Genomic DNA, 26,612 nt, shown 5'->3' with positions numbered 1-26,612 from the left:
TCAATGCTGTGTTTTGGAGATCTATTCATATTGCTACACAAGGACCTAGTTTATTCATTTTAACAGTTGAAAAGTATTTCATCATAGGATTTATACCACAGTTCAGTTACCTATTCCCCCCAGTAATGGATATATAGTATATTTCCAGGTTTTTGTTATACCAAATCGTGCTGCCAAGAATTTACGTGCAAGTGTTTCCTGGTGCTCATGGTTAGAGCTTTTCCAGGGTAGATCATTAGGAAGTGGAATTGTTGGTTTGAATTGTTACATAGCTTCAACTTTTCCAGATTCTGACGAATTAGTATAAAGGTGGCTGTGCCAATTTATACTTATATGTCTGAGTGTCCCAGTTTCCTCATTTTCTGGCCAATTAATGCTTGGTGTTATCAGACTTTTTTGGCTTATGCCAGTCGGAAGGCTTTGAAATAGTCATTATTTGAATTCAAAAAAAATTTTTTTCCTGGGCTGGGTGCAGTGGCTCATGGGTGTACTCCCAGTGCTTTGGGAGGCCAAGATGAGAGGATTGAGGACAGGAGTTCAAGACTAGCCTGGACAACATAGTGAGACCCCATCAAAAAATAAAAAAAAAATAAAAAAATAAAAAAATAAAAAACAAGTAAAATAAATAAAAAATAAAAATAATTATATAAAAAATATTAGCTGGGCGTGGTGGTGCATGCCCATAGTCCTAGCAGTGCTGGAGGCTGAGGCAGAAGGATTGTTTGATCCCAGGAATTTTGAGGTTACAGTGAGCTATGTTCATGCCAGTGCACACCAGCCTGGGCAACAGAGTGTGGCTCTGTCTCCAAAAAAATTTTTTTACAACAAATTTTAAAGTTTTTGTATTAAAGTTTTTATTTTATATATATCATATATAAACACACACACACATATACATATACATATACATATACATATACATATATATATACTTTTTTTTTTTTTGAGACAGGATCTTGTTCTGTCACCACTCTGGAGTGTGGTGGTGCAAATATGGCTCACTGCAGCCTCCACCTCCTGGATTCAAACGATCCTCCCATGTCAGCCTCCCAGTAGCTGGGACCAGGCTAGTGCCACCATACCTGGCTAATTTGTGTGTGTGTGTGTGTGTGTGTGTGTGTGTGTGTGTGTGTGTATAGAGACAGTGTCTCACTATTTTGCCCAGGCTGGTCTCGAGTGCCTGGGCTCAAGCATTCCTCTTGCCTCAGCCTCCCAAACTGCTGGGATTACAGGCATGAGCCACTAAGCCCAGCTCAGCATGATTTATTACTGTTAAATATTTAGACATTTGTATCCAAGCCTCCATTTATAACCTTGCTCTGGGCCCCACCAATTTTAGAGAAGGTCTACTCTGATTCCCTGAAATGTCTTCATTGTTTTCTTTTGCATGAATGTACACAATTTATATATTGATCTTCTTATTATTAAAATTGAGACTGGCCTCAGTAGCTAATATCTGTAATCCCAGTACTTCAAGAGGCCGAGGTGGGAGAATCTCTTGAAGTCAGGGGTTCGAGACCAGCCCGGGCAACATAGCTCCTACAAAAACATTAAAAAATAAAATTAGTTGGACACAGTGGCACACACCTGTGGTCCCAGTTACTCAGGAGGCTGAGGCGGGAGGATCACTTGAGCCTGGGAGGACAAGGCTGCGGTCAGGTGCAGTTGCGCCACTGCCCTCCAGCCTGGGCAATAGAATGAGACCCTGCCTCTGAAAAAACAAAGTAAAATTGATATTGTTTTAAGTATTTGCTATTAAACCATTATGCTTTGAACATTTTGGTATATGCTTCTTTGTGTACATGTACATGAGTTTCCCTAGAGATCTAGTAGTGGAATTTTGATTTTTTTTTTTTTTTATTGATCATTCTTGGGTGTTTCTCACAGAGGGGGATTTAGCAGGGTCATAGGACAATAGTGGAGGGAAGGTCAGCAGATAAACAAGTGAACAAATGTCTCTGGTTTTCCTAGGCAGAGGACCCTGCGGCCTTCCGCAGTGTTTGTGTCCCTGGGTACTTGAGATTAGGGAGTGGTGATGACTCTTAACGAGTCTGCTGCCTTCAAGCATCTGTTTAACAAAGCACATCTTGCACCGCCCTTAATCCATTTAACCCTGAGTGGACACAGCACATGTTTCAGAGAGCACAGGGTTGGGGGTAAGGTCATAGATCAACAGCATCCCAAGGCAGAAGAATTTTTCTTAGTACAGAACAAAATGAAGTCTCCCATGTCTACTTTCTACACAGACACAGTAACAATCCGATTTCTCTATCATTTCCCCACCTTTCCCCCTTTTCTATTCCACAAAACCGCCATCGTCATCATGGCCCGTTCTCAATGAGCTGTTGGGTACACCTCCCAGACGGGGTGGTGGCCGGGCTGAGGCGCTCCTCACATCCCAGACGGGGCGGCAGGGCAGAGGCGCTCCCCGCATCTCAGACGATGGGCGGCCTGGCAGAGACGCTCCTCACTTCCTAGACGGGATGGCGGCCGGGAAGAGGCGCTCCTCACTTCCCAGACTGGGCAGCCGAGCAGAGGGGCTGCTCACATCCCAGACGATGGGCGGCCAGGCAGAGACGCTCCTCACTTCCCAGACGGGGTGGCGGCAGGGCAGAGGCTGCGATCTCGGCACTTTGGGAGGCCAAGGCAGGCGGCTGGGAGGTGGAGGTTGTAGCTAGCCGAGATCACACCACTGCACTCCAGCCTGGGCAAGATTGAGCACTGAGTGAGCAAGACCCCGTCTGCCATCCCGGCACCTCGGGAGGCCGAGGCTGGCGGATCACTCGCGGTTAGGAGCTGGAGACCAGCCCGGCCAACACAGCGAAACCCCGTCTCCACCAAAAAAATACGAAAACCAGTCAGGCGTGGCGGCACGCGCCTGCAATCGCAGGCACTCGGCAGGCTGAGGCAGGAGAATCAGGCAGGGAGGTTGCAGTGAGCCGAGATGGCAGCAGTACAGTCCAGCCTCGGCTCCGCATCAGAGGGAGACGGTGGAAAGAGAGGGAGAGGGAGACCGTGGAAAGAGAGGGAGAGGGAGACCGTGGAAAGAGAGGGAGAGGGAGACCGTGGAAAGAGAGGGAGAGGGAGACCGTGGAAAGAGAGGGAGAGTGGAATTTTGATTCTTAAAGTTTTATGTGATAATGCCAAATTGTTTTCCGAAGTGTGTTTGCCAAGTTATACTCCCACCAGAAGAATAAGAGCCTTCCCTTGCCTCACATAGTGGCCAAGTGGTATCGTCAGCTTTTAAAAATTTGTGCCAATACAAGGAATGTGAAATTGTATCACTGTGGTTTTTTTTGTTTGTTTTTGTTTTTGTTTTTGTTTTTTTTTGAGACAGAGCCTCGGTCTGTCGCCCAGGCTGGAGTGCAGTGGTGCAATCTCGGTTCAGTGCAGTCTCCGCCTCCTGGGTTCACGCCATTCTGCCTCAGCCTCCTGAGTAGCTGGGACTAGAGGTGCATGCCACCACCCCTGGCTAATTTTTTTTTTTTGTATTTTGGGTAGAGACAGGGTTTCACCATGTTCGCTAGGGTGGTCTCGATCTCCTGACCTCGTGATCTGCCCACCTTGGCCTCCCAAAGTGCTGGGATTACAGGCGTGAGCCACCGCGCCCAGCCCTCATTGTGGTTTTAATTCTTTATATATTCTGGATCTCTAGCCCTTTTAAGTCTTATTACTCATTTTTTTAAGTTTGTCTTACTTGGCATCTTAGTAGTTGCTTCTTATTCGCATTTTACTTTTTTGGTCATCATAGCACTCTATTTTTGTTTGTAACAGTTTTTGTTTGTTTGTTTTTTACCATTTTAAAAATGGCTAAAACTATTTTTATTTATTTTTTGAGATAAAGTATTTATTTTTTGTTTGTTTTTTACCATTTTAAAAATGGCTAAAACTATTTATTTTATTTATTTACTTTTTTGAGGTTTATTTATTTATTTATTTATTTATTTTTTGTTCTGTCACCCAGGCTAGAGTGCAGTGGTGTGATCTCAGCTCACTGCAACCTCCGCCTCCTGGGTTCAAGCGATTCTCTTGCCTCAGCCTCCCAAGTAGCTGGGATTACAGGCACGCGCCACCATGCCTGGCTAATTTTTGTATTTTTAGTAGAGACAGGGTTTTGCCACATTGGCCAGGCTGCTCTTGAACTCCTGACCTCAGGTGATCTGCCCTCCTGGGCCTCCCGAAGTAAAACTATTTTAAAGTGTACAGTTCAGTGGCAATAAGTATATTCATGATGTTGTGCAACTGTTACCACTATTGGAATTCCAGAACATTTTCATCACCCCAAAGAGAAACCCCACAACCATCAGGAACCAGTCCTCATTCTCCCCTTTCCTCAGCCCCTGGCGATCTCTAACCTACTTTTTGTTTGTTTTCCAATTCTGGACATTTCCTGTAAATGGGATCTAATAATATGTGGCCTTTTGTGTCTGCTTCTTTCACTAAGGAAAAATGATTTGCATTTTACTCTTGCATGTTCTGTGTTGTTTGTGTGGGCGTATTCATCTAGGAGAAATCTTCCTGAAGTTCCTTCTGTAACTAATTCTGCACTGTCCATGGAGTCATGTTATTGTCAGACTGGTGGCCTTAGAGACATGCTGTTTTCTGCAACATCGTGACACAAAAGGGTGCACCCTGTAAGAATCATTTGGGAATTTTTGTTCTCTTTTCACAAACACTACATCTCAAATTTTTAATTTGATCAAATTTGACTCTCGGTGTCTGCAATTTTCTTTAGAAATTAAGCTAACAAACATTATGACATTGTAATATTGTGAACCATGATAAAATCTTAAATAGTGACAAATGAAGCATGTGATAACACAATATTTTCTACTTTTTACATAATGCAGAGATGGCAAAATTACACATTTAAAATAAGTAGATATATTTTTCCATCCATTAAATGGTTCTAATTTGCTTACTGCTTCTGCCTGTATTTACTTCCAAACCAGGTATCTGCGAGCTTTTCCTGCGGCTACTTTGGAACAGAAGAAGCCATAGTAACATAGAGGTGAAAAAGGGGTAAAAGGTTTCAGGAGCACCTAGGATTTCAGGCCCAGTGAGAAATCACTTCAACCAAATTGCAGCAGGGGAGCTGGTCTCAGGTTGGGAGGAGAGAGGGGAGACTTATTTCATGATCTTTTCTCTATTTCCCATACAGGGAAGAGATAGTATTTTATTATTTTTTATGTATTATTTTGTATTTACTTATTTATTTATTAAAATAGAGACGGGGGTCTCAATATTTTGCTTAGGCTGATCTAAAACTCCCGAGCTCAAGCCACCCTCCTGCCCCAGCCTCCTGAATAGGTGGGATTACAGATGTGTACCACCACTCCTGGCACTGGGAAGATATTTTAATATGTTTTAGACCAATTTAGAAAATGAAGCTAAAAGAGGTCATCTAAGGGAAATCGTTTCCTAACATTTTGATCCCGCATGCCTATCAGCAGAGAATGTTTTGAGCATGTACTCCTAATGTGTGTACATTTATTTAAACATTCTATGATGGAAAATTCTTAATTTGTATACTATTTACTGTTCTACTTTTTAAAACTTTTTAAAATCAATTTTATTGAGGTATGATTTACATACAATAAAATGTACCCATTTAAAGTGTATGGAGGCCGGGCGCCATGGCTCATGCTGTAATCCTAGCACTTTGGGAGGCCAAGGCAGGCGGCTCACTTGAGGTCAGGAATTTCACCAGAGATGGTGGAACCCCATCTCTACTAAAAAAACAAAAAAAAATTTAGCTGGGCATGGTGGCGTGCACTTGTAATCCCAGCTACTCAGGAGGCTGAGGCAGGAGAATCTCTTGAACCCAGGATGTGGAGGTTGCAGTAAGTCGAGATTGCACCATTGCCCTCCAACCTGGGCGACAGCGTGAGACTCCATCTTAAAAAAAAAGGTAAATAATGTGTATGGTTTAAAGAGTTTTGATAAATGGATGCCCCTGTGTAACCATCACAACACTCTAGATACAGAACATTTTCATCAGCCCTAAAGGTTCTCTTGTGCCCCTTCTCAGTTAACCAGGGAGTCCCCCCACTCCTCCAGCCCTTTCAGCCCAGGCAATACTTTTCTGGGCTGAAAAGATTTTTTTACATTAAGAAATATAAGGAGTTCCGGCCGGGCTTGGTGGCTTATGCCTGTAATCCCAGCACTTTAGGAGGCCGAGGCGAGCGGATCACGAGGTCAGGAGATCCAGACCATCCTGGCTAACACGGTGAAACCCCGTCTCTACTAAAAATACAAAAAATTAGCCGAGCGTGGTGGCGGGCACCTGTAATCCCAGCTACTCGGGAGGCTGAGGCAGGAGAATGGCGTGAACCCAGGAGGTGGAGCTTGCAATAAGCCGAGATCGCGCCACTGCACTCCAGCCTGGGCGACAGAGCGAGACTCCATCTCAAAGAAAAAAAAAAAAAAAAAAAATATATATATATATATATATATATATATGGAGTTCCAATATTTGTTTCCATCCATGATGGATTGTTTTGAGTAGCTTCTGGGATGCAGTTACCTAGCTTTGGAGCAGTGCTTCTCAAACTTTGACATGCATTTTCATCACATGGGAGAGTCTACTAAAATGCAGGTTCCCAAGTCACCTATTGGAAATTCTGTTCCGAAGAGGAGGGTTGGGGCCTGAGAATCTGCATTTTTATTCATTTATTTTTAAAATTTTCTTTTTTTTATTTTTTATTTTTATTATTATTATTTTTTTAGACAGAGCCTCCCTCTCTCACCCAGGCCGGAGTGCAGTGGCACGATCTCTGCTCACTGCAACCTCTGCCTCCTGGGTTCAAGCAATCCTCCCACCAAGCAATCCTCCCACCTCAGCTCTGAAGTAGCTGGGATTACAGGCCTCTGCCACCATGCCCGGCTAACTTCTTGTATTTTCAATAGAGACATGTTGCCCCGGCTGGTCTTGAATTCCTAAGCTCAAGCTATCCACCCTCCTCAGCCTCCCAAGCTGCTGGGATTACAGATGTAAGCCACTGCGCCCCCAGGATCTGCATTTTTAAATACCACCCTAAAGAATCCATTTGCAGGGGTCAAACCACACTTTCAGAAACATATAATTCCTTGGGGGTACACTTCCTGGAAGACTGCAAATGCAGAGTTTTATGTGGCTTTCGAGTTTGAGGGAGTGAGTAAAAGAAATGAATTTTTTAGTTCTGAATAAATGAAAGATTTTTCTTTAAGTGATCTTTCTCAGAGATTAGGGGTTCTATGACTTTTATGTGACAGACCAAAAGACATAGGAAACTTTTGGCATCCTAGGTACCAAGTCAATAAATATTTATTGAGCACAAACTTTGTGTCACAAATGATAGACAATTCTAGAGGCTTCTACCCCTTCCTTTGTCACTCACAGGATCCTGAAATACTGTCAACCAGTTAATTAATCTCTCTCTGGTTAATATTTGTTAACTTTCAGAGGGACTTATGCTGGGAAGTATTGTGGCGGGTGGTGGGGAGAAGCCAGCCTGTGAGAGGAGAGGGGGCTTGTGTGAACTACTTTCTCTGATCATCAAGATTTTGGTGGTCGGGTACGGTGGCTCACGCCTGTAATCCCAGCACTTTGGGAGGCTGAGACGGGTGGATCACCTGAGGTCAGGAGTTCAAGACCAGCCTGATCAACATGGAGAAACCCCGTCTCTACTAAAAATACAAAATTAGCCGGGAGTGGTGGTGCATGCCTATAATTCCAGCTACTCGGGAGGCTGAGGCAGGAGAATCACTTGAACCCGGGAGGCGGAGGTTGCGGTGAGCTGAGATTGCGCCATTGCACTCCAGCCTGAGCAACAAGACTGGAACTCCGTCTCAAAAAACAAACAAACAAAAAAAAACATTGTAGCAGTAACGCCACCACCTGCGGCCATCTACTCTCCTTTTTCTCAGTCCTGATGTGGACCTAGGGCAATGTTTCTCAAACTTTGCTGCATGTTGGGATCACTTAGGAAATCTTTAAAAAATACTGATGCCCGTCTCCTACCTTCTGATTTAATTAGGGTTTGAATTGGACTTTGGGATTTTGTTTTTTTAAGTCCCTAGATGGTTTTTAATGGGCAACAAGCTTGTGAACCATGAACTTAGGGGACTAGAGAAGTCAAGACTGGAGAGACTGTCCATAATAACAGAAAGATGATATTTTGGTGGCACCGGTGCTGTTTGTCCCACTCTTGGTACAACTGTAGGGTATGTGCGGATTCTTGGCCTCCGGCCTCCCCTATCCTCAGCGGGCCCAGCCTCCTCTGCTCTCCAGTCTTGCAAGGCCCTCGGTGCTTTCCTCTTCCTCCTCGGTGCAGGCTGTGGCTTGCCGTGGCTGCAGCCTTAGGTTCACCATTTTCTGCAGTGAGCTGGGGCTCTCTTTGTGCCTGCTGTGTTCTGGGTAATACAGTTGTGGTTAAAGGAAGCTCATTTTTTTCGGCTCCACCCTCTGTGTCTCCCCACATCCTTCGTTACCCTGCTCATGTGATCTCGTCTGGTCTATTCTGTTTCTCCTCCATCTCACTAGGGGCTCTAGAGGCAGTAAACCATCCCTACCCTCTAATAACACGGCAATTTAATCTTGAATATCAGAAGTACAAATATGGGGAGTAGGAGCCTCGTGGCTTTAAAATAATATCGCGTTAGGGTTGGTTTTGACTGATGACATTTTATTCTTTAGCTCAATGTTCTCTAGATTTTATCTTTCACACATCCTGGTTCCTTTTTTACCTGGCTTATATCATGGTGAGTGATTTCCTGTTTTCTATACAAATCAACGATCTTTTTGTTTTTGCCAACCCTATTAGGTGTTAGGGAGCAGAGGGGATGAAGGAGAGAAGGGAAGGAGTACTTCGATATAATTACTGTCCAAAAAAAAAAAAAAAAGACTCGGGTTACTGTCTCTTTTTGGTCTGACTGTTGAGTTCAGAGCTAGTCCTGTGTTTACCGATTTGTGAAGTGCAAGAGCTCCGAGGTGAACATCCAGTTCAGGAATCTAACTCAGAATCAAATCTGACAAGCGCATCCAGTGATTCTCAGCTCAGACTGCACGTGGGAATCACCCGGGCTCCCACCGCAGTAAGATGAAGCCAGTCTCCAGGGTGTGGCCCAGGGTTAGGTTATTTTCAACACTGCCCAGTTGATCATTATGTGTAGCCAGGAATGAGAATCACTGTGCAGGCTAGTTGTTTAGACTGCACCCGTGGTGAGAGAGAGCGCTTATTGCCTGGGCTAAAATAACATTTTGTTCTGTGGCTGGAAGAGAAAAGTGAAAAGGTCGTTTGTTTTTAGGCTTTTGGCCTGAGCTCCTTAAAGAGAGACAATTCTGCTCCTTTCAAGGATGTCTTTGCTGTTTTTTTTTTTTTTTTTAAGTTATCACCTCCTACTGCAACTCGCCCTCTTTGTTTGAGGTTTATCTGCTCCAAGTGTGGGTAGCATTCTGCAAACGCTTGTTTTGTCCTGGGAAATTCATAATAATTAGTAGGAGAGCTCTTTTTGTACTGGCGAGAGGGGAGTTCCCACAGCTTCTAACCAACCTTCTGTAGGACCTGTTGTCCTTTTTGGGGAGGTGGCCCTGAGCTGCCTATACTCCAAGTATGTTCGTAAAACCAGATTGTTAGACATGCAAATTCTTGGCCTCCAACCCTAGATTTACTGATTCAGACACTCCAGGGTGGGGGCCCAGGAATCTAATGGACCTCCTGTCTAGGTGATGCTGATGCATCCTAAAAGATTGAGAATCACCCTGGGATGTCTGGGATGGGGCCTGAGAATTTGCATTTCTGAAAACCTCCCAAGTGATGCTGATGATGTTGGCCTAGGGACCAAATTTTCAGCATCGCTAGCTTAGCAAACCCCAAGAGGCCACGGGAGACTTTCATACTATTTCCTGGCTGAAGCCCACTAGCCAATATTAGGCACCTGGAGCTGGGACAGAGTGATCAGAAGAAAGTCGGAAGGAAGGTTCTGCCACCTGAAACCTACACATGACCCCCTTCAAGCTCTGATCGTGGCCCATGCTGCTGAGCTTGTCTGTACAATACTAATTTTCACTCGCGTCCGTGTGAAGAGACCACCAAACAGGCTTTGTGTGAGCAACAAGGCTGTTTATTTCACCTGGATGCAGGCGGGCTGAGTCCGGAAAGAGAGTCAGCGAAGGGAGATGAGGGTGGGGCCGTTTTATAGGATTTGGGTAGGTAGTGGAAAATTATAGTCAAAGGGGGTTGTTCTCTGGCGGGCAGGGGCCGGGGACACAAGGTGCTCAGTGGGGGAGCTTTTGAGCCAGGATGAGCCAGGAGAAGGAATTTCACAAGGTAATGTCATCAGTTAAGGCAGAAACAGGCCATTTTCACTTCTTTTGTGATTCTTCAGTTACTTCAGGCCATCTGGATGTATACGTGCAGGTCACAGGGGATATGATGGCTTAGCTTGGGCTCAGAGGCCTGACACTAATCACAACAAATAATGCCTATCACATAATGTGTTCCTACCACACCCTTTATGTGATTTATGTCCACGATCTCTGCTTGCACCCTGCTTAAATAGTTGGGGGAACAGTGGCTTAAATAATTCAGGATGCCGATTTAAATTTTTTTGGTTTGAAAAAGTTTCAGATCTGTTTTTGTTCATTTTTCCGGCTTGGGTTTTTGCTTGTGTTTTGGGATGCGTGTTCATTCCTGGATCTTCCTCTTATCTGTCACCTTTGATTTCTCATTTTATCAGTCATCAGTTTCCCAAAGTAGGATTATCGTGACTACTAAATTAAATAACATAGGTAAAGTTCCTGTCACTTAGTAAATGCATAATAAATGTTAATTTCTGTAATTAACCCAAGTAGAAGGTAAGTGTAAACTGCCCCACCTTCGTGGCTGATCAATATCCTGAAATTAGGGCAAAGATAAAGCCCCTAAGAAGCCGCTGGGGAGAAGTCTAGGGAATGTGGGAAAACGAAGCAGAATTTGCCAGGGAAGGGGCTGCAGGTCAGACCAAGACGAGACAGAGATGTTGCAGGTTGAGACTGGGTTCAGGGTGAGAATCACAGAATCTAGAGGAATAAGAAGTTTGCCTGAGGATGGAGATGAAAAATGAGAAGGAAAACCAGGCCCCCAGGTGGGCAGCACCACGGACCCCAGCCAGTGCAGCATGGGCTAGCTTTGACTTTTCTTTCAGACATGAGCACCTTTGGAAAAGCCTGGACACCTGAGGTTCCAGGCAGAGGGCTCCCCATTAGGCTATCTGGCTTCCTTTAGTTATTTAGAGGAAGTGCTGACTTCAGGGACCCTGGAAGTGCCACACTCCTCAGCTAGGACAGGACAGGAACAATTCTGCATCTCTCTGTGACCTGCAGAGGTGCCGTAGGCTTGGCTCTAAGTTCAGGACGTCTGGGCTGGAGCTAAAGTGGAAGCAAAGATTCTTAATTCCTTCTGACTAACAAGTTGCTATGTAATGCCCAACCTTGTTTTTACTAACCCTGTCTTTAGACTCTCCCTTTCCTTTAATCACCTAGCCTTGTTTCCACCTGAATTGGCTCTCCCTTAGCTAAGAGAGCCAGACAGACTCCATCTTGGCTCTTTCACTGGCAGCCCCTTCTTCAAGGACTTAACTTGTGCAAGCTGACTCCCAGCACATCCAAGAATGCAATTAACTGATAAGATATGGTGGCGAGCTATATCCGCAGTTCCCAGGAATTCGTCCGATTGATAACGCCCAAAGTCCCGCATCTATCACCTTGTAATAGTCTTAAAGCCCCTGCACCTGGAACTGTTTACTTTCTTGTAACCATTTATCCTTTTAACTTTTTTGCCTGCTTTACTTCAGTAAAATTGTTTTAACTAGACCCCCCCTCCCCTTTCTAAACCAAAGTATAAAAGAAAATCTAGCCCCTTCTTCGGGGGCGGGGAGAACTTTGAGCGTTAGCCGTCTCTTGGCCGCCGGCTAAATAAACGGACTCCTAATTCGTCTCGAAGTGTGGCGTTTTCTCTAACTCGCTCAAGTACAACAGCTAAATATATCAGAGCCAGAGGGCAGAACCTGTCTTGTGGTGGGAAGTTTCAGTGAGGTCATTTTCAGCTCAATATCAAGAAGAATATTAGGGTGGCACGGTGTCTCAAGTGTGTATCCCAGCACCTAGGCCTAGGTGGGAGGATCGCTTGAGCCCAGGAGTTCGAGGCTGTAGTGAGCCGTGATTGTGCCACTGCACTCCAGCCTGGACAACAGAGTGAGACCCTGTCTCAAAAAGAAAAGAAAACATTAATGGTAATGGCTAATGGCCGTCAGAACAATGAGGTAAGATCCTTGTGAGATAAAGAGGCTCACAGTCATCTGGTCAATCCACCATAGAGAGGACTTCTGCTTTGAGGTGGAGGCTGGAGGGCATTACCTTTCTTTTTTTATTTTTTTGAGACAGAGTCTTGCTCTGTCGCCCAGGCTGGAGTGCAGTGGCGCGATCTCGGCTCACTGCAAGCTCCGCCTTCCGGGTTCACGCCATTCTCCTGCCTCAGCCTCCCGAGTAACTGGGACCACAGCTATTTTTAGTAGACACGTGGTTTCACAGTGTTAGCCAGGACGTCTCGATCTCCTGACCTCGTGATCCGCCCGCCTCGGCCTCCCGAAGTGCTGGGATTACAGGCATGAGCCACCGCGCCTGGCCTGCTGGAGGGGATTACTTTTCAAAGGCCCTTCTTGCTGTAGGAGTCTTTCCTCCGGGATTGATAAAGTGGAGTCTTAGCCCAGCTGCTGAGGGTTCTGGGTGGGGGCTGGCGGGGACTGGTTATCTGAAACCACAGTGCAGGACCAAAAAGCTGAGGTCGACCTTATCAAGGAGTGCCAGGAAGCCAGGGTCACAGGGTGGAGAAAGCAAGGAAAGGGCCCGCCTGGGAGAATGGCTAGGATAGAGGCTGTCGCTAGAGCCTGAGTGACTGGCCTTGACTTCTCCAGGAGGCAAGGTACACGGATGGCTGGCCGGGTTTCAAGGTCTCGGCTCCTGGTTGACAGAGTCCTTGGTTCTCTATTTTTTCATATGAGGTTACACTGTAAGATCTGAAGGCAATCTAGAGAGTTGCAGACATGATTTACACACAAATAATAGCATTGAATAAGTGACTTTTAAAAATTAATTCTTAGAGAATAACTTTTACCTAGATGTTTACATTTTCAAAAATTCATCAATTTCAATAAGATCATTTTGCATTTCTATTTACCAGTGACAAACAAAAAATAATAGTGCAACCGATAATATTCAATATTTTGGAAATGAAGGAGAACTATTAAAAGAAAAATTTAAATTCACGATAGGAAAAAACAGAATAAATGGAGAGATATTTTCTGTTCCAGAATCAGAAGATTTAATGAAATTAACATGATATACTTAATATCCAGTCTAATTTATGGAGTTAATAGAAATTAAATTCCCAATATACTGTTTTATGGAAATTGACATATTTTATTCCCTAATAAAATGTTTATAATGAAAATAATAGGCTGGGTGTGGTGGTTCACATCTGTAATCCCAGTGCTTTGGGAGGCCAAGGAGGGAGGATCAAAGAAAAGAATAGTTAAGCACACTAAGGAGTTTTTTGAAAAGGTGTAAGCCAATGATATGAAAAATTACTGTTAATATTTAAAGTATATTTAAAATGTTAACAAAGGGCCAGGTGTGGTAGCTCATACCTGTAATCCCAGCACTTTAGGAGGCTGAGGCGGATGGATCACCTGAGGTCAGGAGTTCAAGACCAGCCTGGCTAACATGGTGAAACCCCGTCTCTACTAAAAATACAAAAAATTAGCCGGGTGTGGTGGTGCGTGCCTGTGTTTCCAGCTACTCGGGAGGCTGAGGCAGGAGGATTGCTCGAACGCAGGAGGTGGAGGTTGCAGTGAGCCGAGGTTGCACCACTGCACTCCAGCCTGGGTGACAAGAGCAAAACTCTGCCTCAGAAAAAAAAAGTAAAAAAAATAAATAAATATAGTGTATTCTTTAAGCAGAACCAACCTGTGTCTGTTGTCAGAGAATATGGGCACGGGTCTTTGCAGACTGAAAGTTTTATGGCTGATTTCTGTTTCTTTGCATCTGTGTAGTAGAAATACTGACCATTGTCGTGTTTTCTTCCAGGAATTTATGCAAATATTCTCATGAGGTTCTCTCAGAAGAGAACTTCAAAGTCCTGAAAAATCACGAACTCTCTGGACTGAACAAAGAGGAATTAGCAGTGCTCCTCCTCCAAAGTGATCCTTTTTTTATGCCCGAGGTAAGTTGTGATTCCTCAGTTTAAGGAGGGAGAATATTACTGGCAGTATTGTGTCACAGATATTTTGGAGTAGGAGCAGAGAAAATTCAAAATTAATGCCAGGGTTCTGCAGGTGGTAGTCGAGGCTGTTATTGAGTGAACTAAGAGATCCCAGAAATTTCTCTCCTATTTGAGGTTTTATAAGAATTTGAGTCTGGAATACCTCTTCCACTGGGCTGCAAGGGAACCCTGTGTGAGTAAGTATGAGCTGAAGATCTGATAGTAGTCAGACTACTTGATGCTTTAAATCAAGGTGGCTTCTTGGAGGAGATGGACTTTGGAATGAGGTTGGGAAGTTGGCGGGGAAGATGAGGGTATGGGCTAAGCTGTTGTAACAGAGACCCCCTCAAAATACAGTGATTCAAATAAAATGTAATTTTGTTTCTCTATCTCTTGATAATCTAGGTCAGGGGTCAGCAATCTATAACCCAGAGGCCAAATCTGGCCTGCCACCCTTTTTTTTTTTTTTTTTTTTTTTTTTTTGAGATGGAGTCTCGCTGTGTTGCGCAGGCTGGAGTGCAGTGGCACGATCTTAGCTCACTGCAACCTCTGCCTCCCAGGTTTAAGCAATTCTCCTGCCTCAGCCTCCCAAGTAGCAGGGATTACAGGTGCCTGCCACCATGCCCGGCTAATTTTTATATTTTAGTAGAGACAGGGTTTCACCATGTTGGCCAGCCTGGCCTCGAACTCCCGACCTCAAGTGATCTGCCCACCTTGGCCTCCCAAAGTTCTGGGATTACAGGTGTGAGCCACCATACCCGGCCTGTTTTTATAAACAAAGTTTTGTTGGAACACAACCACACCTATTCGTTTATGGCTGCTTTCACCCTGCAAGGGTGAGTTGAGTAGTTGCAGCAGAAACAGAATGGCCTACAAAGCCTAAAATATTTACTATCTGATCCTTTATGGAAAAGATTTGCCAACTCTTGGTCTTTCCTGCATATGGACAGGGGGGTAGCCTGAGTTGTTGGGCAGCTAGACTCAATGATGTCATCAAGGGGCTCAGGTCAGTAGGTCAGCTCTGTTATCTTCAAAATGTGGCTTCCGTCTCTGTGTACAATGAGTCTGTACTCACTGTCACCATTTTCTAGCCAGTGGAAATGTAGAGAGGAAGTAAATGGAAGGCAAGCAGTTTCCTTTTTTAAAAGATGTGACATGGACATTGTATATGGCACATCTGCTCAATCACATTGACCAGAGATTATTACATGTCACACTTAGCTGAAAGGGAGTCTGGGAAATGTAGTTTCTGTCTGGGTAACCATGTGTCTACCTAAAACTTGGGAGCTTCTATTACTAGAAGAAAGACGGGGACAATGGTGGATAATTAACAGTTTCATCCACTCAGGAATATAGACTTAAGGATCAGAGAATACTGTTTAAGCCTGGTATCTGGCTGGATAAAATCCATGAATAGAGAAGTTAGCCTCACAGTTAAAGAGAGGCATAGAAACATAATGGGTGAGTGGAAGGGATGGAGAAAATGTAAGTAAAGTTGAAATTCAGTTGCACTTTTTTTTTCTTTTTTCTTTTTTTTTTTTTTTTTTTTTTTTGAGACAGGATCTTGCTCTGTCACCCGGGCTGTAGTGCAATGACATGATCAGGGCTCACTGCAGCCTTGACCTCCTGGGCTGAAGTTATCCTCCTGCCTAAGCCCCCCAAGTATCTGGGACTACAGGCATGCACCACCATAGCTGGCTAACTTTTTTTTAAATTTTAGTAGGGACAGGGTCTCACTATGTTGACCAGGCTGGTCTCGAACTCCTGAGCTCAAGTGATCCTCCTGCCTCAGCCTCTCAAAGTACTGGGATTACAGGTGCGAGCCACTGCACCCAGCTCAGATGCACTTTTATACACAATGAGATAGCTGTTGGGGACTTCTGGAGGCTTAAATACTTTTTGACTCTGAACTCAGTGTGTTTCCCTAAGAACTTAAAAATCTTATAACATGAGAAGTGATTTTGAGTTGGCCACTGAGCTCAGGAGAGATATGAATGCAAGACACATTATAAAGACTTGTTGGGGGTTGGGGGAGGAAAATATGTCCCATTTGCTCTCCAGCCCCGTGCATTCTTCTATCTAGATACTTGGGTTTGTTTCTCTCTCTCTCTCTGTCTCCCTCTCTCTCTCTCTCTCTGTCTCTGTCTCCCTCTCTCTCTCTCTCTCTCTGTCTCTGTCCCTCTGTCTCTCTCTCTCTCTCCCTCTTTCTCTGTCTCTCTCTGTCTCATTTCCAGGAGTCCAAGGTTTAAAGGTCTTGTCTTGGGATATCTATGGCCCTTGGCCTAGGTACTAACCCAGTCCTCCATGACTACCAGCACGGGAAAAATGCCTTACACATCATTCCCGTTAAAGCTCCTGCTGATGATCAGAGACATATCATCCTTTTTCTTTCATTGAGGGAATGACAAGATGCAGTCTTGTCATGGCACTTGAGAGAAGGTGTTTTGTGGTCTATCCTTAGTCTAGTGTTAACCCGGAGGCTTAGAAAGGCCATTCATCATGTCTGATCGCTGCTTCAGTTCTTCAAAAGTAACAGGTACTTTTAACATCGGGCCACACATCTACGTTGAGTTCCTGGAGAATAAGGACAGTCTTCCTGTATTAGTCCATTTTCATGCAGTATGAAGACATACCTGAGACTGGGTAATTTATAAAGAAAAGAGGTTTAATTGGCTTACAGTTCTGCATGGCTGGGAGGCCTCATGAAGCTTACAATCGTGGTGGACGGCAAAACAGGAACATCTTACATGGTGGCAAGCAAGAGAAGTGAGTGCTAAGCAAAGGGGGAAGCCCTTTATAAAACCATCACATCTTGTGAGAACTCACTATCATGAGAACAGTAGAATGGGAGTAACTGCCCCCATGATTCAATTGCCTCCTACCAGGTCCCTCCCATGACACGTGGGGATTATGGGAACTACAATTCAAGATGAGATTTGGGTGGGGACACAGCCAAACCATATCACTTCCCTTTTCTAGGGAGGAGGTCGGCAGATATGAACCTAAGACAAGGCACTGTTGTGTAAGGGATCCCAGAAGAGCCCATTGACTACAGTGCTGTGAGGGTCCCTATAGGAAAATGTTGTCATCATACTTTTATCAAACAGTGCAAACAAGAGGTCAGCATCACCCAAGGCTCCCTTTCCATTGTTAGAATTCAGTACCCACAATTAGAGGGTGGGGTGGGGTGGGGAGGTTCTTGCCTGAAGCTTATTTTTAGCTAATAATTTAATTGCTGTTTTCCACTCGTCAGAGTTAAGATCCCAGAATGGGGGACTGCATTATTTCCTGAACTAGAGGTCTGAGGAGCTGGTTTCTGGAGTTAGCATGAGTTAGTACTGTTGGTATAAGTTTTTGTTCAAGAATGCTGGGCAAGAGAAGGCTCTAAAGGAGTGTTTTAACTTAGGGGAGTAGGATGGAATTTTTTCATAGGGCTTTGGCAGGAGGAGTCAGCCAGAGTTCAGCTAATTTCAAGAAGAGTTGGTCCAGGATGGCTCTCTAAAGATGGAGGAATTATCCCTGCAGATTTGCAGCTGTTGTTTGGGCAATTTGGATTTTTTTTTTTTTCTTTTTTGAGATGGAGTCTCACTCTGTCTCCCAGGCTGGAGTGCAGTGGTGCAATTTCAGGTCCTGCAACCTCCGTCTCGGGTTCAAGCAATTCTCCTGCCTCAGTTTCCCGTGTAGCTGGGATTACAGCCATACACCACCACACCCGGATAATTTTTTGTATTTTTCGTAGAGATGGGGTTTCACCATGTTGGCCAGGCTGGTCTCAAACTCCTGACCTCAGGTGATCCTCCCGCCTCAGCCTCCCAAAGTGCTGGGATTACAGGTGTGAGCCACCATGCCCAGCCTGAACCACTGTGCCTGGCTGATTTGGATTTTATCAGAAGGAAAGAGGAGGAAGAGAGGGGCGAAGTTAAGTGTAAGAGGCAGTGCAGAGAAACAGCTTTGTGGTTTAGGGGGTGTGAGATGGGGACCACAGTGAAATGTTTCCAGTCACTTCATTGATTGCTTTGCATTCATTCAACTAACATTTAAAAGCACCTGCAAGTGTTAGTCACAATGTTAAAATACTGGAGGTAACCAGTGGGAAGCCACACACTCAGCCCTAAAAAACTACGTATTCACACTTTTTCATTTTGCTTTGACTTGTGAGAACATAAAAAGATCAGGCAAACCTGACTGCCTGATATATAAACTTGTACAATTGAAATGTGCTTCTTAAAGGAAGAAATGCTTTCATTTGTTCTGGTCTAATGAAGGCAGGAGCATTCTTGCTTAATATCGGCGTGGGAATAGGAATGTTACCAAAACATCATTTGTGAAGTTGCTAATGGTGCTTTTTTGCTACAGCTCAAACTTTAGCGGACATCAGAATCATCCAGAAGGTTTGTTAAAACACAGACTGTTGGGCCCCACCTCTGATGGTTCAGACTCTATAGATATGGGCAAGTGCCTGAAGATTTGCATTTCTAACAAATTTACAGGTAGTGCTGATGGTGCTGGTCCGGGGACCACACTTTGAGAATTGCTGGTCTAGAGTCTAGAATCTGGATCATAGACTTGATAGCAGTTACATATATCTATTTGAATCAGGTTTTAGCGATTATCCATGTGGCAAAATCATTGCTAGTGGGGTTTGAATCATGGCTTGCCATCTAGACAGATCACAGTGAACCATACTGATCTGGTTTGCTCAGAGTCTATCGAAGTGACTCATTAAAATGTCTGAAATTCAGGTTTCTTACTAATTATATTGGTTTCCTCATTTCATGGTTCAAACACGTGCATCACACTTTATATTTTGCATAACGCATTTACAAATTTTGCTATTTAGTCTGCTTAACAACTTGGTTTTTGTAGACAGAACAAATCTTTTCCTCCTGTTACAGCAAAGGAAACGGAGGCTAAGAGTAGGTAAGGGATCCCTTGAGGTCACACAGCTGCTTCCAGGGCCTCAGATTTTAAAACCAGCATCCTCCAGTTCTGTATCATATGGCGTGGCCTCAGCTGCAGTATTTTCTCTGCCCTCTTTCCAGTAGGGACTACATCTCTTCAGAGCTAGTCACGTACATGTATCTATTTAGATGGAAATACAAAACTTATCTTCTTTAGGCAATCTTTTGAGAAATGTCATTCTGCCTAGCAGAGTCTAAATTTTGGATTTCCAAACAGTTGCAGGTAAGACCCACATGTCCTTTTCATTGCAAAGTGAGTTGATAACCAAAGATGAGCCTTCCTGTGCTGGGTTCCTTCATGATATAGGGCTCACTTTGGGTCCTGTTTGTAGCTAACCAGCTTACATTGATTCTTCCAAGGGTTATCAAATTGATCAGTATCTTTTGGTTAGTCTGTGGACCTCTTCTGCCCCAAGTAAATCACCAACTGAATGTGACTCATCAAAGACTGCAGAATATGCATGTATTTTTCCCCCTTTGGTATATCTCTGCTTGCTTCAGAGATTTTTGCACACGTGAGCTTGCCTTAATGAATGTTTGGCAAATACAAGAAGGTGTTTTGACTCTGGCTGTTGTTTCTCCCTTCTGTAGATATGCAAAAGTTATAAGGGAGAGGGTCGGCAGCAGATTTGTAACCAGCAGCCACCGTGTTCAAGACTCCACATCTGTGACCACTTCACCCGAGGGAACTGTCGTTTTCCCAACTGCCTCCGGTCCCATAACCTGATGGACAGAAAGGTGCTGGCCATCATGAGGGAGCACGGGCTGAACCCCGACGTGGTCCAGAACATCCAGGACATCTGCAACAGCAAGCACATGCAGAAGAATCCCCCAGGGCCCAGAGGTAAAGGCCTTTTCTTTTTCAATTGTGTGAACTCTTTTTTTTTTTTTTTTTTTGAGACAGAGTCTCTCTCTGTCACCCAAGCTGGAGTACAGTGGCGTGATCTCAGCTCACTGCAACCTCTGCCTCCCAGGTTCAAGTGATTCTCCTGCCTCAGCCTCCCGAGTAGCTGGGATTACAGGTGTGCACCACCACACCCAGCTAATTTTTGTATAAATTAGAGACGGGGTTTCGCCATGTTGGCCAGGCTGGCCTTGAACTCCTTACCTAAGGTAATCTCCCTGCCTCAGCCTTTCAAAGTGCTGGGATTACAAGCATGAGCCACTGCACCCGGCCAATTGTGTGAACTTTCAAATCAGCAGAAATCACAAGGAAAGAAAAACTGCCATAATCACTCTACCTTGCCGTGTAAAACTCTTCATTTTCCCTTCCAAACTTCATGCATATGTATACACCATTTTTACATAATTATAATGGTAGTATACATGCAGTGTTTGCAATTCAATTTTTATGCTTAGCACTATTGCCCCCCCCCCCAGGTTTAAAAAAGTGTATATCATTTTTCTAAAAACTAATTAACAAAGCTTTTTTTTAAGGAAAAGAAACAAACATAAAATTGTTTAGATTTATCAGCTGTTAACATTTTGTCCCAATTGCTTTAGCACTTTCTTTCTCTCTATGTATACATGCAGCTACTCACACACACGTAGAACATTTTGGTGTTTAAAGCATTTGATATATGTAAATATCATGACATTTCACACCTGAATATATCAGCATGTATCTCCTCAGAACAAGGCCATTCTCTTACATAATCACAAGACAATTAATACAGAAAATTTATTATTGATGCAAAACTATGTATAATTTAATTTATGGTCCTCAGTGCCATTTCTTTAAAAAAAAACCAATATTTTAAAATTTCTAAAAAAAGCCACAATAACTCCCATTCCCTTCTTTCCCCAGCCCCTGGCAACTAACATTCTGCTTTCTGTTTGTATGAATTTGACAACCCTAGGTACTTCATATAAGTGGAATCGTACAATATTTATCCTTTTCTGACTGGCTTATTTCACTTAGCATGATGTCCTCAGGGTTCATCCATGTTATAGCATATGTCAGAATGAATATTTCATTGTATGTATATAATTATAAATTTTTTATCCATTCATCTGTCGATGGATATTTGGGCCATTTCCAGTTTGGCTATTGTGAATAATGCTGCTGTAAACATGGTGTACAGATACCACTTTGAGACCCTGTTTTCAGTTCCTCGGGGGTATATAATCAGAAGTAGAATTGCTGGATCATATGGTAATTCTATGTTTAATTTTTGGAGGAACGATCATACCATTTTTTGTAGCAGCTGTGCCATTTTTCATTTCTGCCAGCAGTGCACATGGGTTCAAATTTCTCACATCCTCTATCATTTTGTGTTTTCTGATTTTTTTTTTTAATAATAGCCATCCTAAGGAGTATGAAGTGCTATTACTTTTTTTTTTCTTTCCTGTTTTGAGACAGAGTCTCACTCTGTCACCCAGGCTGGAGTTCAGTGGTGCGACCTCGGCTCACTGCAATGGCCGGCCGCCTCCTGGGTTCAAGTGATTCTTCTGCTTCAGTCTCCCAAGTAGCTGGGATTACAGGTGCCTGCCACCACTCCCAGCTAATTTTTGTATTTTTAGTAGAGACGGGTTTTCATCATGTTGGCCAGGCTGGTCTTGAACTCCTGACCTCAAGTGATCCACCCACCTTAGCCTCCCAAAGTGCTGGGATTACAGGCGTAAGCCACCATGCCCAGCCAAGTGCTGCTATTTCTGAAGCATTTTCATATTATATAATGGCATTCATTTTTAATGTCTTTATGAAGTGGATGTAGGAAAGATGAATTTTATGAAGCAGATAGAATACATGATTCTAGGATTCTGTGCAAATTAATGAACAATTAAACCTCCTTATATTTGGGAAATGGTTTATCATTTACAAGGGACTTTCATCCCAAATAAATATTTCATCATTGTTCCTCACAGTGAAACCACAAAGAAAGGTAGATATGTCATTTTTTAGCCTTACTTAAGAGGGTAAAGAAACTGAGGCTCAGAAATAGTAAGCAATGTTTATTGCAAGCAGCCTCAGCTCATTTTTAGAAGAATGAAGGATAATGTAATGAAGAAATAAAAGGTAACATTTTCAAGGCCTCACATCACTAGAAAGTAGCAGAGTGCATGTTCTGATCCCATATCTAATGCTTTTTCTCTCTCACTACAGTTCCCTCTGAACAGAGGAATGTCTGGAGGGATGGGTTTTGGTGGTAGCTTCTCAATGTAAACTTATTGTGAATGAGAAAGATCTGTATATATTTTCACTTCCAGTTAATCTCCTGAGTTAAGCCTTTTCTTGACAGGAGGAGGGTGTTTGCTTTTACTACATAACTACTGCCCCCTGGGTTTGGAAGAGAAAAAAAATGTCTCTTCTACCCCTTCCCCACACAAAAAAGCACAATTCACACACACACACGAGCACACATGCACACCTCACATTCACACACCACACGTGCACATGTGCCTCAAACACAGACATGCACATCTTCCACATGTACCCCCGGCACACAAACACACCCCACATAAACATCACGTGCATGCACGCCACACACACTCCACACGCGCTCACAAACACACCCTAACTCCTTCCTTCCTCCCTGCTTCCAGAAGGGTGTGACCTATCAAGTTTCTAGAGGAAGGCCAATTCCCTGCAGGCCACACTGCTTTGTCGATGTTGACTTCTGATATACTTTGGCCTTATGGAGTGAGATGAAGAAAACTGGAAAAATTTCCAGCTTAAACAAAGTCAGGCCTTTAGACTGTGGTTTCATTTTCTGTTGGTTTCTTTGAGCATTGTGAATCTGTCAATAGCCAGGTACACCCGTATCACGATATGGGCAAAATCGAATGCTTTCTGGAAAATCTTCTCTGATTTGCCCTAATCTATCTCTCCATTGACCCCAGTGATGAACGTTGACTCAGGACCAGGAGATAGTGGACAGCCCCACCTAAAAGTTTTGGGGTTTGGGGGCTACTTTGAGTCCCAGAAGAGAGCCGGGGACTGTCATCCTAGAGCTGATCCTCACTGTCATCCTAGGCCATGGAATGACGTGCTCTGCCGTGCAGGCAGAATGTCAAGATTCTTTCATCAGCTGACACAGTTGGTGAGCACCTGTAGTCTCAGCTACTCAGGAGGCTCAGGTGGGAGGATCGCTGGAGCCCAGGAGTTCGAGCTTGCAGTGAGCTGTGGTCGGGCCACTGCATTCCAGCCTGGGCAACAGAGCAACACTCCATCTCTTAAAACAAAAACAAAAACAAAAAAAACCGTCAGTGTCAAACCACCCATCTTCAAGATTTTTACACATCAGATTACGCCAAGTAATTTGATAGCACTTGGATAGCAAAGCTACAAAAGTGAAGAGGAGGAAGGGTGGTAGGAACTCAGTCACATTAACTCCAATGTTCATTATTTTGTTTCATTTTGGCTTTTTTTCCCCTTAGCTCCTTCTTCACATCGTAGAAACATGGCATATAGGGCTAGAAGCAAGAGTAGAGATCGGTTCTTTCAGGGCAGCCAAGAATTTCTTGCGTCTGCTTCAGCGTCTGCTGAGAGGTCCTGCACACCTAGTCCAGATCAGATCAGCCACAGGGCTTCCCTGGAGGACGCGCCTGTGGACGATCTCACCCGCAAGTTCACGTATCTGGGGAGTCAGGATCGCGCTCGGCCTCCCTCAGGCTCGTCCAAGGCTACTGATCTTGGAGGAACAAGTCAGGCCGGGACAAGCCAGAGGTTTTTAGAGAACGGCAGTCAAGAGGACCTCTTGCATGGAAATCCAGGCAGCACTTACCTTGCTTCCAATTCAACATCAGCCCCCAACTGGAAGAGCCTCACATCCTGGACGAATGACCAAGGCGCCAGGAGAAAGACTGTGTTTTCTCCCACGCTACCTGCCGCCCGCTCTTCTCTTGGCTCTCTGCAAACACCTGAAGCTGTGACCACCAGAAAGGGCACAGGCTTGCTTTCCTCAGACTACAGGATCATCAATGGCAAAAGTGGAACTCAGGACATCCAGCCTGGCCCTCTTTTTAATAATAATGCTGATGGAGTGGCCACAGATATAACTTCTACCAGATCCTTAAATTACAAAAGCACTAGCAGCGGTCACAGAGAAATATCATCACCTAGGATTCAGGATGCTGGACCTGCTTCCCGAGATGTCCAGGCCACTGGCAGAATCGCAGATGATGCTGACCCAAGAGTAGCACTTGTTAACGGTAAATACAAAGGGAAGACACTTTGGGCTAGTACATTTGTTCATGATATACCAAATGGCTCTAGTCAAGTAGTGGATAAAACTACTGATGTAGAAAAAACTGGTGCCACTGGTTTTGGCTTAACAATGGCAGTCAAGGCAGAAAAAGATATGTTACGTACTGGAAGTCAGAGTCTGAGGAACCTGGTCCCCACCACACCTGGGGAATCCACTGCCCCTGCACAAGTCAGCACTCTGCCTCAGTCACCTGCTGCCCTTTCCTCAAGCAACAGAGCTGCAGTCTGGGGGGCCCAAGGGCAGAACTGCACCCAGGTTCCTGTTTCCTCTGCCAGCGAGCTCACAAGGAAGACAACAGGCTCTGCTCAGTGTAAGTCACTGAAGGACAAAGGGGCCTCTGTGTCTTGAGTCTGCAGCAGAGTGGCTATGGCTGGTGGTTTTTCCTTGGATGTTCCCCAGTTCTTAAAGGGTAGAGAGTTAGAGGGTTTTGGTTATGGGGTGGTCTGGTGAGGAGATTGACTAGTGAAGACAGGGAAGGGCCAACCAGTAGAACCACAGGGAATAAACTGCCACATTTATTGACAATAGGAATATTTCAACTATGATTTAAGAAATAAACATAGCTTTCACAGGACTCTGAGGTCCACATTTTTGTTTTATGGAGGGGCTGTCTAGATGCTCATGGGCAAAACATAAATCATAGGAATTTTCTTGAACATGGCCCCCATTTCAGATATTCTTTCCCATTGTGAGACCAAGTGCTTTGATTTTTGGTTTAAACATTAAGATCAGCATACATGCATCCTTTTTTGTTTCATAGATTCTTTATCTGATGTCACAAGTACCACATCTTCTAGGGTGGATGATCATGACTCAGAGGAAATTTGTCTTGACCATCTGTGTAAGGGTTGTCCGCTTAATGGTGAGTAACCTAAGGACTTTTCTGTAAGCTTCCACCTTTTGGCCATTGTAAATAACACTGCTATGAACATGGGTGTGCAAATGCCTTCTGAAAACCCTGCTTTCAATTCTTTTGGATATATACCCAGAAGTGGAGTTGGGGGATCATATAGTACTTCTATGTTTAATTTTTTTTTTTGAGGAACTATTATTCATAGTGGCTATACCATTTTTCTTTCCCACCAGCAATGCACAAGCGTTCAAATTTCTCCACATCCTCACCAACACTTGTTCTTTTTGTGTGTGTTTGTTTGCCTTTTTTGTTTGTTTGTTTTGAGACGGAGTCTCACTCTGTCACCCAGGATGGAGTGCAGTGGTGTAATCTCAGCTCACTGCAACCTCTGCCCCCTGGGTTCAAGTGATTCTCCTGCCTCAGCCTCCCAGGTAGCTGGGGTTACAGGCGTGTGCCACCCCGTCCGGCTAATTTTTGTATTTTTAGTAGAGACGGAGTTTTTGCATGTTGGCCAGGCTGGTCTTGAACTCCTGACCTCAAGTGATCCACCCGCCTCGGCCTTCCAAAGTGCTGGGATTACAGGCATGAGCCACTGTGCCCAGCCACTGTTTGTCTTTGATAGCAGCCATTCTAACAAGTGTGAGGTGTGGACTATAATGAGTGGTTGTGTACTTTTCAGTCAGCCAAGTCTCAAGTAGGGCCACTCTATGGGTGTCCCTGCAGTGTCTAAACCTGTCTTTTTTGTTTGTTTTGAAGTTGTCACACATCTTCATTTTGAATATTTCAAAACAATTTAAACATAATATAAGGCAAATTTTGAAAAACAGAACTATCTTCTGTCTTCCTGTACTGTAGCTTATAACATCAATTCATTCTTCAGCCGGCATTCCTGCAATGGCTGTCTTTTGTATGCCTAGCCCTGTGCCAAATATGTAAGGGGGATGTAAGCTAAACCATAGTGCAGCCTTCTCTTTAGTAAGTTTATAATTAAGGTAGGGCATGAAAACATCCATAAAATGCCAGGCATGGTGGCTTACGCCTGTAATCCCAGAACTTTGGGAGGCTGAGGCAGGTGGATCACTTGAGGCCAGGAGTTCAAGACCAGTCTGGCCATCATGGTGACAACCCATCTCTACTAAAAATACAAAAATTAGCTGGGCGTGGTGGCACATGCCTGTAATCCCAGCTACTAGGGAGACTGAGGCAGGAGAATTTCTTGAACCCGGGAGGTGGAGGTTGCAGTGAGCCAAGACTGCGCCATTGCACTCCAGCCTGGGCGACAGAGTGAGTGAGATTCTGCCTCAAAACA

At 44.2% G+C, this 26,612-nt stretch overlaps 1 protein-coding gene across 3 annotated transcripts in view, besides 1 other annotated feature; it reads left to right on the top strand.

Annotated features, from left to right (window-relative positions):
- The window catches only part of ZC3HAV1 (zinc finger CCCH-type containing, antiviral 1), a 66,206-nt gene that overhangs the window by 5,857 nt on the left and 33,737 nt on the right, over positions 1-26,612 (top strand). For 2 of the 3 annotated variants that reach the window (NM_020119.4, NM_024625.4), the window contains exons 2-5: positions 14,105-14,240; positions 19,832-20,084; positions 23,621-24,394; positions 25,211-25,312. In NM_020119.4, the coding sequence (NP_064504.2) occupies positions 14,105-14,240; positions 19,832-20,084; positions 23,621-24,394; positions 25,211-25,312 (1,265 nt within the window). Of the gene's footprint in view, positions 1-14,104; positions 14,241-19,831; positions 20,085-23,620; positions 24,761-25,210; positions 25,313-26,612 lie in introns of all 3 variants that reach the window. The other variant, NM_001363491.2, reaches the window with a different exon arrangement.
- Positions 1,518-2,089: an enhancer, noted in NCBI's record as "NANOG-H3K27ac hESC enhancer chr7:138786521-138787092 (GRCh37/hg19 assembly coordinates)". NCBI's record gives its function as "activates a minimal SCP1, AML or CMV promoter by ChIP-STARR-seq in primed H9 embryonic stem cells {active_cell/tissue: H9 hESC(primed)}" and the evidence as "EXISTENCE:reporter gene assay evidence [ECO:0000049][PMID:30033119]".

This window comes from Homo sapiens, chromosome 7 (genome assembly GCF_000001405.40).
Source record: "Homo sapiens chromosome 7, GRCh38.p14 Primary Assembly".
NCBI classification, from domain to species: Eukaryota; Metazoa; Chordata; class Mammalia; order Primates; family Hominidae; genus Homo; species Homo sapiens.
The sequence above is the reverse complement of the archived record's forward strand: the minus strand, read 5'-3'. Positions and strand labels throughout refer to the sequence as shown.